Consider the following 14,185-nt stretch of genomic DNA (forward strand, 5'->3'; position numbering starts at 1 on the left):
GTTTGTCAGCATTGGACAAACTATGGGCCACAGGCCAAGTCCAGCCCAGTGCCTGGTTTTGTAAATAAAGTTTTATTGGAATATAGCCATGCCCACTATATTGTGCATATTGTCCATGGCTGCTTTGGCACTACAAAAGCTTTTGCAGATTTGAGTAGTTATAACAGAGACCACATCACCAGCAAAGCCCAAAATATTCACCATCTTTCCCTTTACAGAAAGTTTGTCAGCCCCTGCTTCATTTGAAGGAAACTGAAGCTCAGACACATTCAGTGACTGACAAGTTAACTTTGGAGAGAAGACTGTGTGTCAGTCCCCACGATTCTTATTCCAGCCATCTCCCCACTCTTCTAATTTGCTTCCCATCACAATGATTCATTACAATAAAACAACAAGGAGAGAGACAGAGCGGAATGAATTTGAAGCAGACAGTCCCAGTAAGGAAAAGGGAGGTCTCTCAGTGAACACAATTAAGGGTCTTTCTCTTTTTTGAAACACTTGGGGAATTTTGGCAGTCACCTTTGAAATCTGCTAAAACAAATAATGTAAGGCAACTATTCAAGGATGCCACTTCAAGGTTTTAAAAAAAGCCTTAATATTTCATAGGGTTTTTTTGTTGTTGTTGTTCAGAAAATGAACATGTAAGGAAGAACAATGAAAAATATCCTGAAGTATGTGTTCAATTCTTATCCATTCGATTGCTGAGTGCTTTCATCAAGGCCATTCTCTAAGCAGAGGAAAAAAATATTCCCAACAGATGATGGCAGCTAAGAGGGACACACACACACTTACACACACACACACACACACACACACACACACACAACATGCATGATTAAACAAAATAATTTTTAAAAATCCAATACAGTTCCAAACTCAACAATAACTGAAAAGAAAGGCCACTTGTTTCATCTTCCTTTTCCCCCATCTTCTGCTTAGTAGAAGTATATGGTAATTTGCTTCTTTTTAATAATTTGTAAAATCTGATGAGTGGTGAAATTTAGCCATGCCCACATGTCAATAACAGATGTTAAAAATTTCAGAATTATAAGATCACCAAAATAATCACATCCACCAAAAAAACCTGCTGGGGACAGCTCATCTTTTTCTTTTCAACCTACCTTATGCAGAAGGGTGAGCAGGGCATGCCCACATGTTGACAACCCTGGAGCCCCTTTTTCCCAGGGAGGACTTGAGCAGGAAAAGCAAGATGTAGGACAGAGAAAGACTAATTCATAAAGGTAAGGGAGTCATGCCCTTAAAAAAGAAACACAAACTCTTCTAAAAGGTGAGGGAAACACTCATGTGAGGTGGTACCATGCAGAAGAGTCACATTACCTTGAGGCTGGGTCCAGGCATATGTCACAACCTTCCCTTAGGACAAGACCCAGGCAAGAGAGTTTCAACAAATAGGTACATGTTCCACCTTTATGTTGTAATGCTTCATATGGGCAAGGCTCAAGCAGGTAGTCATATCACCTAGGTAACAGGCCCAGATATATGTCACAATATCCTCCTTGAGACATGATTCTGGGGAAACTCTACCACCATCTGTGTGCCTTGCCTAGCAATATGTCACTATCCAGGTAAGCCAGACCCAAGCAGGAGAGCAGAAATACGAACCTGATAGGCCAAGGTATTTGTCACAATCCCCTTTTTTGGACATTACCCTAGAAAAAGAGTACCATCAACAGTGTGCCAGTCCCAGCCATGTGCTACTATCCCCTAGTGTGAGTACAGCCCATTCTAAAGAGGAGATTTGTACAACCTAACTGGTTGATACAGTGATATGTCACAATGACTTCTGTGGGCATGGCTTAGGCAAAAATGTAACATGACCTCCGTGCTGGATCTAGTGATATATCACTCTTCTTACTGAGAGCAGGATCCAGGCAGGAAAGTCACATTACCTAGAGGTTGGCCAAGGTAGATATAACAGTAACATATGTGGGCTGGAACCAGTCTGGAGAGTCAGATCACACAGGTGTTTGGCAGAGATTTATATCACAATCACACTGGCAAAAAATTCCCTGGATGAGATTTACAATACCACACATGTCCTTTTATCATGAGCAACAGTTGGCTTCATATATGTAAGACAGTGACAGCGCTTACTGTCATCTGGTGTGAATATGAGATAATTTCACCTTTCTGCTGGGTTCTGCTATGACACTCTCTGTCCAAGCCAAGTGCTACATAAAATATCTGAGGCTGTTATAATCTTCTTTGAGCTTTTTTTACCAGAAAGATATTTAATCACTCCTTTTTCTAAAACAAGTTATAAGAGTCAAAATTACACCTATTTGTGGGATGCACATGTAAGAGTCATTATCATGCCTGTGAACTGTGCCTATATATGTAAGAATTTACTCTGTGTTGATGAAATAGACATGACAGTGAAGTAACCTAAATTCTGAGAGAGAAATGTGCCAATATTCTCCTTGTAGGTATGTTCCTGGCAGAAAAGTTGCATAACTTGGGGGTTAAAGACAGGAATATGGCACAATGCCCATTGTGGGCAGTGTCCAGACAGAAGAAGAGACTCATATCACCTAAATGACAAACCCAGAATATGTCACAATGTATCCTGTTGAAAGGACCAGGTAAGAGAGTCACATCATTTAGATGCAGTGCTTAGGAATGTGACAATCCCCATTGGAAGGAGGGTCAGGGCAGGAGAGGACAGTCAGGTAACTAGATCATGGGTCCAGAGACATGCAACAATCCTTCCTGAGGTTATTGTTAAGACAGGAGTGTCAAATCACTGTGGTGATCAGCTATGATATACGTCCAAATCTCATTTGTGGACTATACCTAAGCAGGATTATTAAATAACTCAGGAGATGGGCAAAGGTATATGTTACAATAATACAGGGTGAAAATTACAGGAATGGGAGTCACCGTCTTGCATATGACATGTCTCCAGGTTTAAGAGTCATAATTAGTCCTCATATCTGGTCTCAGTTATATGGCACAGTATTACTTGTGGGCAGAGGGCAAGCAGGAAGGTGACTTTACCTAGGTGGGTGCTGGTCCAGTAAGATGTCACAATCCTTCTTGTGGGCAGGACAATGGAAGAAGAGTCAAATCACCAGGATGCCGATTTTAGTGATTTATCAAGATTCCCCCTGTTAACAGGGATTAGGAAGGTGAGAAGACTCATGTTACTTTTGCAATTGGCCTAGATATGTGTCTCAATGGCTGCTATGTGCTAAACCAAGGTATGAAAGTTGCCTCACCTTGGCCATGGGTTTAGCAATATGTCACAATCTCCTCTGTGGTCAGGGCAAGACATGAGAGAAAAAATATTTAGATTCTGAGACAAGTGTTTCTGTTGGCAGAGCCCAAAAAAGAGAGTCACATCACCTGCTTGCGGTGCCCAGTTATGTGTCATAATGCATGATAAGTGCAGGGCCAAAGCAGTAGAAGGGAGTCACATCACTTACACAATGGACCTGGATATAAGCCACATATATCTAGATATATTGCCTTTTATAGGCAAGAATCAGGCAAAGAATTCACATCACCTGGGAGCTGATCCCAGTGATACTTAAAAGTGCCCTTTATAGGCCTGCCCAGACATCTTCACTTAGGTGTATGATCCATGTATATCACAATTTCATCACTAGTCATAACCTAAAAAGGAAAGTCAAGTTATTCAGGAGCTGTGCTACCTTTTTGTCCTAATCACACACTAGACAATATTCAGAAGTAAGATTCATAGTCCTGCAGAAGTCCTGGCTTCTTGCATGTGAGTCAACACCTCCTGTGAGTTAGGTTAAAGCAGAGAAGTCACAATCTCAACAATAACAATGGGTAACATCCATGTATAAGATGCCCAATCTCACTTGAAGATTGTGTTCCACTAGAGGAGTCACATCGTCACAGGTGTGTAGAATCATGCATCAGCAAATGACACATGAATAAGATCCATGTATGAGGGGAACATTTGCAACCTTTGACTGCTTTTATGTGTGAGATTTAGTAACTTAATTTTAGGCCCTGTTCTTGTGAGAGAATGAAAATTGGATCAGCTTGGTGTGCATCCAAGAGTCACAAACGCACCTGGTTGCTTTTCCCTGTTATGACACTCTTTGTACCACTCAGGCTTTACATAATATGCCTGAGTGTCATAATCTTCTGTGAACTTTATACAATTAGGAGACCCATTACTTTACTTATTGCCATGACTGGCTTTGAGAGTCAAAATAGCTCTAATTTCTGAGTCCAGTTATGATGGTTATATTTCTGCATGTGAGCTGAAACCAAGTATATGTCACAAGTTCAACTGTTGGCAGAACCAAGGCAGAAGAGTTTCATTGCCTGGATTCTGAGCTCAGGATATATTACAATCTCCTCTGCAGGCAGGGCCAAGTCAGAAGAGTCACATAACCTGGATACAGACACAAGTAATATGGCACCATGTCCACTCTAACAGGATTGAGGAAAGAGAGAAGAGTCGCAACACATAGGTGTTTGGCTCAGCAATATGTAGTAAACCTCTCTTTTGACAGAATAAAGAGGAGAGTTTCCTTACCTAGGTTTTGAACTCAGCGGTATGACAGAATTTGTTTAGTGGGTAGGATCTTTGCAGAAGAGCCACATTTCTTAGATGCTACTTGCAACAATGTCACAATATTCCTTGAGAGAAAAGTGCAGGCAAAGTAGACAAATTACCTCTGACAGGCTCAGAGATATGTGACAATATCCCTTGTTTGCAGAGCTCAGGGAGAATGGTCATATTATTATGATTCTAACCCAGTAATTTGTCAAAAATGCATGCTTTGAAAACAATGTAACCAAAAGTTTTAGCACATGGGTACTAAGCCCAGTGATATGACACAATATTCTCATTTTTGAGGGTGACATCTTTAACTGCTAGCTTGGTATGCACATGAGTCACAATGCCACGTGTGTGTGCTGGGCCATTGTATGACACCCTCTACCACATCCAAGTGTTTTACACAGTAGGAAATGCTCTTTACTACCCAGGAGTTTATATTATATAAACTAGTGTTCTAAACTTCTGTGAGCTTTGTAGAGACATGCAATCCAGGATTTTACCTACTCCTCTAAACCTAGTAAAGAGAGCCAAAATATCTTTTATTGGCTGAATCCCAATATAAGTTTCACCACCATGCCTGTGAATTGAAGCAAGTTATAAGTCATCTTCCTGTTTGTTGGCCAAAAAAAGAGGGGCAGGGAGAGTAACATCACTTAGGTGATGTGGCCAGCAACATGTCACAATGCTCTCTCTAGGCAGAACCTAGGAAGGAGTGTCACATTAACTGGTTGCTGAGCTCAGCAATATGACACAACTACACATGTAAAAATTTAGTGAAGGGATGAGAGCCAAAACACCTACAGAATGGGCCAAAGGTATGTCAAAATACCCACTGAGGCTCTGGCACAAGCAGAACAGTAGCATCATGAAGGTGCCAGAGACACCAGTATGCAATAATTTTCCCTTTATTTAGGAAAATGGCAGAAAAGTAATATCATTTGAGTGCAATAGGTCAAAATTTCTCTTTGTGGGTATGGTTCAGAAAAAAATTGTATAGTTCCAGGACCTAAACACTGGGGTCAGCAATATTTCACCATCCCACCTTTTCAAAGGCCCAGACAGAAAAAGAAGAGAGTCATATCATATAGGTCATGAGCTCTAAGATATGTCCCAATGTTCCCAGTATGAAGGGATAAGGCAGACATTGATAACATATCACCTAGGTAGCTCCCTAGAAATATGTCACAGTGTAACATTTGGCAGGAGAGTAAGCTCACCTTGGTGCTGGCTTCAGCAATATGTGACATACCACTCAGTGGTATGTCACAATTTTTTCAGTGAGCAGGATCCAGACAGGACAGGAGAGTCACATTACCTAGATGCTATATCTTTCAATATGTCACAGTGTACCCTGTTGGCAGGGCACTGGCAGAAAAGACATATCATCTAGTTAAAAGGCCTGAAGATATGTGAAAATATCCCCTATTTGCAGGGTCCAGGCAGAAGAGTCACACTGCACGATTCTGACCCATTGATAGGTAACGATGCTTTTATGGAAAGGAACTTAAACCAGAAAGTTTCAACACCAGGGTAGTAGGCCAAGGGAATTGACACAAGCTCCTCATCTTTAAAGGTGACACCATTAACTCTTAGCTATGGTATATATGACAGTCACAATCTAACATGTGTCCTGGTTATAATATGAAACTCCCTACCACATCTGAAAATTTTGTATGAGATGCATAAGTGTTGCAAACCTCTCTGAGGCCTACATGCATATATGTACTCACGATCTTACATATTACCCTAAACACAGACATGACAACCGACATTTCTCCTATAGGTTTGCTTTAGAAATGAGACAATGATTATGCCTGTGATATGGTTCTGGAAATGGGTCACCTTCCCATCTGTGGCCAGATTCACTTGTGAAATTTACAATTCCAAGTTTATTCTTTATTTACCTGATAGACTCATGACCTTAACAATGGGCTTTGTAAATGTAGGATGGTAACAATATTTACTTTCACCTGCATATGTAGTCAAGAGTCAATCTTAAATTTTTCCTGGGCCCTGTAATAAAATTCCCTGTACCGCCCACAATATTTTATGATATGAGTTAATATTGTAAACTTCTGTGATCTCTGTACAAATATGAAATGAAGGACATTACCTTTTGATGTAAACAAAGTGGTGACAGGTGAAATATCTCCTATTCACTGTATCCCAATATAAGCTTGATCAGCATGCTTTGATCCGAAACTAGGTACATGTCATAATCCCATTTGTGAGCAAAAAACCAAAGAGAATGTTAACATCACTTTTGAGTTAGTCCAAACAATATATCACAATACCTCCTTTAGGCAGGGCCTAGCAAAGAGCATCACATAAAGCAAGGGCTGCAGCCAACAATATGATACAACCACATGTGGAAGAAACCCAGGGAAATGATGAGAGCCAAAACACGTACAGAATGGGCCAAAGATATGTCAATATACCTTCTGTGGCTCTGGTACAGGCAGGAGAGTCACATGATTATGGTGCTGGCCCGAGAAATATGCCATAATTTTCTCTTTATGCATGAGGTAGAAAGAAGAGTAACATCATCCAGGTGCAGGGCCAGGAAATACAGCAAAAGTCCTCTTTGTGCACATTGTTCAGTTACAAGACAAGAGTCACATTACCTAAGTGTTGGGCTCATCAATTTGTCACAATCTTCTCACTGAAAAGTCCCAGGCTGAAATAGGGAGTCACATCACTTGGGTCATAGGCTCAGAAATATGGCCCAATGTCACCAGTAGGCTGGCCTCAGGCAGAAAAAGAGGGTCGTCTTACTTAGGTGCTTCTTTAGGTGTATGTCACAATTTTATATTTTTACAGAAACGAGGATGAATTGCCACATCATCTGGTTCTGAGTTCTGAGATATTCACAAGTCCCCTTAGAAAACAACTCAGGCAAGAGAGTTACATCACCTAGGAGCCCGTTCCACCCTTATGTCACAGTGCTTCATGTGTACAGGACTAAGAAGAAAGTCACATCACCTAGATGATAGACCCAGAGACACGTCACAAAGCCTTCCTGAAAGCATGGCCCTGGCAAAATAGTACAATCACCTTTGTACCTGGTCTAGCAATATGTCATTATTCAAGTGTGCAGGTACCAAGGAGAGGAGCCATACTACCTATGTTATATGCCCTGTGCTATGTCAAAATGCCTTCTTTTCAGCATGGCCCTGGAAGAATGTATCATCTCATATGTGACTGGCCTAGGAAGATGTCACTATCCTGCCATGTGTGCAGGGCCCATTTTAGAGATTAGAGTTATGTCTTCTTCTAAGTCATGGACCCAGTGATATATCACTATGATGTCTGTGAGAATGGGCAGGCAGGAATGTAATGTCACTTGCATTCTAGATCCAGTGATGTCACAATTCTTACTGAGGGCAGAGCCCAGTCAGAAGAGTCATATCTTTTACAGGTTGGCCCAAGTAGATGTCAAAAACCCCTATGGATTAGATTTACAATACCACACATCTCTTGTTTTCATGTAGGAGAGTTGCCTGCATTCATCTGTGATGATGAAAGTCCTTACTGTCAGCCAAGTGTGCATATGAGACTCACAATTTCCTCTGTTTGCTAACCACTATTATGACACTCTCTATTCAACCCAACGGTTTTATAAAACATTTGTCATTGTTATAAACTTTGGTGCCTTTTTTTTTACCAGAAGGTAATCATGGACATCTCTCATGTCCCTAAACCTAGTTTATATGTGGCTGGGTCCACATATATTAGTCATTATCATGTCTGTGAGCTGTGCCTAGGTATGTGTACCATCCTCTCTGTGGTTATTAAACAGGCAGGACAACCACGTTAGCTAAATCCTAAGCCAGAAATATTTCAATATTTTCTTTGCAGGTAGGGCCCTAACAAAAGTCACAAACTTGAGTCTAGGCTCAGGTCTGTGGCATAATCATCCTTGTGGAGATTGTCCTGACAGGAGAGGAGAGTCATATAACCTAAATAATTGGCCCAGAGATATGTCACAATGCCTCCTGTTAAAAAGGCCAGGCAAGAGAGGCATGCCACCTGGATGTCATGCTAAGAAATGCTACACTCTTCACTGAAAGCAGGGTTCAGGCAGCAGAAGAGAGACACATAACATGGAGGATGGGTCCAAATATATGTTATGATCCATTTTGAGGACGTTGATAGGACACAAGAGTCAAATCACCACAGTTCTTGACCCAGGTATATGTCAAAATGTCATCTGTGGGCTATAACTAGAAAAAGGTTATTAAATCACTGTGGAGCTGGGCTAAGGTAAATATCCCAATAACACCTGTGAGAAGGTTAATAGATGAGAGTCAAAATCCTGAGTATGTCCTGGCTCCAGGTACAAGAGTCATTATTATGCCTTTGTTGTGGTCTCAGGTATATGGTAAAATATCACCTGTGGGCAGGGAGAAGTAAGGAAAGTCACATTAACTGAGTGGGTTTCTGGTCCAGAGAAATGTCACAATCCTCCTCGTGGACAGGACTCTGGAGCCAAATTAACTGGATGCTAGTTTCTGTTATATATTGGAATACCTCCTATGGTCAGGGCTTAGACAGGACTGGAGACAATCTTCACCTAGGCAATCGGCCTGGATGTATGTCACAATGGCCCCTGTGTGCAGGACGAAGGCAGGAGAGTAAGCTCACCTTGGTGCTGGCTTCTGCAATATGTCTGATTTAGCAATCTCTGTGCTGGTCAGAGCCGAGGCAAGAGAGAAGAAACATCACCTAGGTGCTGAACCAAGTGATATGTTACAAATCTTCCTATTGGCAGAATATCCCTACCCCAGAAAATAGTCACATCACCCAGGTGCAGTAGCCAGTTATGTCTCACGATGCACCATAAGTGCAGGGCCAGGGAGGTAGAAGGAAGTCACAGCACTTACATGATTGACCTAGATAAAAGCCATGGTGCCTTTTGTAGGCAGGTTTCAGGCCAAGATTTTACATCAGCTGGGTGCTGGTCAAAGTGATATGCAAAAGTTCCCTTTGAAAATTGCCAAAGAAGTTGTTATATATTGTTTAGGTGCTGGTGCACACGTCACAATTTCAACTGTGCTCCGAGTCTAGAAAGCAGAGGCAAAAACTCGGATGCTGGTCAAAGTTATACTTGTCCATCAGACACCCAAAAATATTCAGAAATAAGTTTCACAATCCCACACAAGTCCTGGATTCGGGTATGAGAGTCAACACCTCCTATGGATTGTGTCAAAATACATGAGTCACATTCTTAACAATGCACAGGATCCATGTAAAAACCCCAATCCCACTTGAAGATTGTGTTCCAGCAGAAGAGTGGAAGAACCATGGGTCTGCTGAATCATGGTTGAAATGTCACCAAAGTGTCCATGGATCAGACTCATGTATGAGAGTAACAAAATCAAGCTTATGTTGCTTATGTGTGTGAGATTTAGTACCTCATTCATAGGCTCTGTTCATATGTGAGAATGACAGTCATGTCAGCTTGTTGTGCATCCAACAGTCACAGTAACACCTGGTTACTGGTGCCTGTTATGAGATTCTTTGTGCCACTCAGGCTTTGTAGAGTATGACAGAGTCACATACTTTTCTGTGAATTCTTACAAGTGGGAGATCTAGGACTTTACTCATGACCATAGGACTGGCTATGAGAGTGGAAATATTTCCCTTGGCTGGGCCCATGTATTAGTTATTATTGTGTATATGCGCTGAATCCATGTATATGGCACAATTTCACTTTTGGACAGAGACAATACAGAAGAATCACATCATCTCGTTCTTAGCCAAGGATACTTTGTAATCCCCTTTTTAATCAGGACCCTGTCAGAAGAGTCATATGCCCTGGTTACAGTCTCAAAAAATATGTCATCCTTCCCACAATACACAGGGTTGAAAAATTATAGATAGTCACATTTTCTACTTGCTGGGATCAGCAATATGTTATAATTCCCTGTCTTGGCACAGTCCAGAACAAAGGGAACAGTCACATTGCTTAGCTTTTGCACTCAGTGTTATGTCATAATTTTTTCAGTGGGCAGTATCCTGGACGGAAAGGAGATTCACATTACCTAGGTGCTATATCTAGTGATATGTCACAATGTTACCTGTGGGAAGGGCACTGGCAGGAGAAACACATCACCTAGCTCATAGGCACAGAAATATGTGATTATATTCTTTGTTGTCTGGGTACAAGCAGAAAAGTCAAATTATTATTATTCTGACCCAGCAATATGTAACAAGTCACCTATGGGAAAGAATGCAGGCCAAAAAGCCTCAACACCCAGGTAATAGCACCAGTGATATGACACAAACTCCTCATCTTTGAAGGCGACACCTTTAACTTTTAGCTGAGCATGTATAGTAGAGTCACAATCTCATGTGTGTCCTGGGCCAATGTATGAAACTCTCTACAATATCCAAGGGGTTTGTAAAATCTGCATGAGAGTTACAAATCTTTCAGAGGCCTACAAACTCATATAAAATTACAATCTTATATATTACTCTAAACCCAGGTTTGATAGTAAACATGTCTCCTATAGGCAGGGTTAAGGGAAAAGAGCCATTATTATGCCTATGATCTGGGCCAGTCGTGGTGGCTCACGCCTGAAATCCCAGTACTTTGGGAGGCTGAGGCAGGCAGATCACGATGTCAGGAGATCGAGACCATCCTGGTTAACACCATGAAACCCCATCTCTACTAAAAATACATATAGAAAAAATTAGACGGGTATGGTAGTGGGAGCCTGTAATCCCAGCTACTTGGGAGGCTGAGGCAGGAGAATGGTGTGAACCCAGGAGGCGGAACTTGCAGTGAGCTGAGATGGTGCCACTGCACTCTAGCCCGGGTGACACAGCAAGACTCCATTTAAAAAAAAAAAAAAGTCACAATTCCAACTTTGTGCTGTATTCCATTGTTAGACTCAGGACCTCAACAGTGGATATTGTAAATGTAGGATGGTAACAACTTTTAATTTCACCTGAATGTGTAGTCAAGAATCACAATCTGAACTTTTGTTGGGCCCTGATACCTCTAAAGGCCCTCCCTACCACCAGAGAGTTTATACCGTACAAGTTAGTGATGTAAATTTCTGTGAGATTGGTACAAGTATGCAAACCAGGACCTTAACTATTGCCCTTAGCTCAATGATAAAAAGCAAAATATCTCCTGTTGGCTGTAACCCAATATAAGTTTGATCATCATACATGTGAACTGTGAACTGAAGCAAGGTATATGTCTTAATCCCATTTACGGGCAAACTTTGGGCAGGAGCATAATATCTACCTAGGTATTGTGCCAAGCAATATGTCCCTATGTCTTCTCTAGGCAGGGTGCATAAAATTGGGTCACATTAACTGGGTTCTGGACCCAGCAATATGACAGCATTCCATATGTGAAAAAAAAAAAGCAGCCATGTTAAGGGAGCCAAATCACATACATAGTGAGTCCAGGATATGTCACAATATCTTGGCTGGCTCCTGCACAGGCAGGAAAGTCTCATCATAAATGTACATGACACAGCAATATGCAGTATGCTACATGCCATAATTTCTCCTTTCTGCAGAACCCAGGAAGAAGAGTAACATCATCTGGATGTTGGGCCCTGCAATAGGTCAAAATTTCTTTGTGTGGGCTTGGTTGCAGAAAAAGAGAAGAGTCACATGTCCTGAGTGCTGGTCTCAACAATGTGTCAAAATCCTCCTATTGTGAAGGCTTGGCAGAAAAAGAGAGTCACAACACTTAGGTCATGGGTTCAGAGATATGTTCAAATGTCCCCAGAAGGCAAAGCTCAGAAACAGGAGGAGAGCCATATCACCTAGATGTTTCCCTAGGAAAGTCATAGTGTAACATGTGGGCAGAAACCAGGCAGGAGAGCCACAGCACTTGAATGCTGGATCCTGAGATATATCACAAGGCTCTCTTAGGACAACACCCAAGCAAAAGAATTACATCACCTTGGTGCAGGTTCTCTGCTTATGCCACAATGCTCCATGTCAGGAGGGCCTAAGGAGGGACTCACTTCATCTAGGTGATAGGCCCAGATATATGTCAAAATGTCCTCTGTGAAGCATAGTCTTGGCAAAGGAGCACCATCGCCTGTGTGCCTAGCCCAGAATTATGTCACTCTCCAAGTTGGCTGGGCCAAAGTAGAAAAGCCACATAACCTAGGTAATAGACCCAGAGGTATATCACAGTACCCTCTTTTGGGCATGGCTCTGGCCAAAGAATACCCTTACCCATGTGCCTGGCCTTGCAATATGTTACTATACTTCCTTTGTGCAGGGTCCATTCTACAGAGGAGAGTTACAGCAACTGTGAGGTGGGCACAGAAATATGTCACAATAATTTTGGTGGGCATTGGGCAGACCAGCATGTAACATCACATAGGTGCTAGATCCAGTGATATGTCACAATCCTAAGAGAAATGCCCAGGCATGAGAGTCACATCACCTGGAGGTTAGCCTACATAAATATCACACTCCCATATATGGACTGAAAACAGTCTGGAGAGTCAAATTACACAGGTGCTTCACAAATATTTATATCACAATCACACTGTCAGAAAATTCTAAATAAGAATACCACACATGTCCTGTTTTCATGCGTGATAGTTGGCTTTATCCATTTGAGATGATGACAGTGCTCACTGTGAGCTGGGTGTGCCCATACAAGATTCACAATTTCACCAGTTATGAACCCTGCTTTGACTCTTTCTGTATAACCCAAATACTTTGTAAAATATGTGTGAATGTTGTAATCTTTTGTGGGCTTTGTATGACAAGGTGACCCAGGACATCATGCATGTCCCTAAACCTAGTGACGAGTCAAAATATCTTTTATTGGCTGAGTCTATATATTACAGCCATGATGATGGCTGTGAGCCATGCCTAGGGATATGTTACAATTTCTTCTGTGTTTATGAAGGAGGCAGAGCAGCCATGTCACCTAAATGCTGGACCAGAAATATTCCAAATATCTCTTTGTAGGCACTGTTCTGTCAAGAATGTCACATAACATCTAAGATAGGTCCAGCTAAGGGGCACAATGTCCATTGTTGGCAGTGTTTAGTCAGGAGAGGTGAGTCATATCACATAAATGATGGGAGCAAAAATATGTTACAATGCCTTCTGTTGACAGAGTCCAGGCAAGAGAGTCATATCATATGGTACCAGTTCTTATAAATGATGAAATTAGCAAAGGAAGCAGGGTACAGGCAGAAAAGGAGAGTCATGTAACCTAGATGATGGGTCCAGAAATATGTTGCATTCCCCCTTGAGGACATTGTTAAGATAGCACAGTCAAATCACCAAAGTTTCTGGCCCAAGTATTTGTCAAAATCTCATTTGTGGTCTATACCTAGACAGACATTAAATTATCCAGGGGCTGAGCATAGGTATATGTCAAAATTTCACTGTGTAAAAGTTTAAAATAAGAGTCACCATCCTGCACGTGTCCTGGCTCCAGGTACATGAGTTGTTATTATGCTTTTATTATGGTCTCAGGTATATGGACACAATATCACCTGTGGCCAGAAAGAAGGCAAGAAAGTCACATCACATATGTGGGTGCAGGTCTAGAGAGATATCACAATCCACCTTGTGGGCAGGACCCTGGCTAAACAGTCACATCACCTAGATGCTGATTTC

General features: G+C 41.6%; 2 long non-coding RNA genes across 3 annotated transcripts in view; one reads left to right on the forward strand and one right to left on the reverse strand.

Annotated features, from left to right (window-relative positions):
- LOC107987339 (uncharacterized) overlaps positions 1 to 7,394 on the reverse strand; it is a 30,404-nt gene extending 23,010 nt beyond the window's left edge. The window contains exons 1-2 of the long non-coding RNA XR_001756056.2: positions 6,678 to 7,394; positions 3,019 to 3,128 (exon numbers count right to left, since the gene is read on the reverse strand). This is a non-coding gene — a long non-coding RNA (uncharacterized LOC107987339). The remainder of the gene's footprint in view (positions 1 to 3,018; positions 3,129 to 6,677) is intronic.
- On the forward strand, positions 1,539 to 8,207 carry TTTY12 (testis expressed transcript, Y-linked 12). 2 transcript variants are annotated; one of them, NR_174112.1, is made up of 4 exons: positions 1,539 to 1,586; positions 2,448 to 2,603; positions 3,068 to 3,149; positions 7,385 to 8,207. It is a non-coding gene; the product is annotated as a testis expressed transcript, Y-linked 12 (long non-coding RNA). The 2 variants fall into 2 exon arrangements; NR_001551.2 differs by lacking the exon at positions 3,068 to 3,149.
- Positions 8,208 to 14,185: the final 5,978 nt, after the last annotated feature.

This window comes from Homo sapiens, chromosome Y, assembly GCF_000001405.40.
Source record: "Homo sapiens chromosome Y, GRCh38.p14 Primary Assembly".
NCBI lineage: Eukaryota > Metazoa > Chordata > Mammalia > Primates > Hominidae > Homo > Homo sapiens.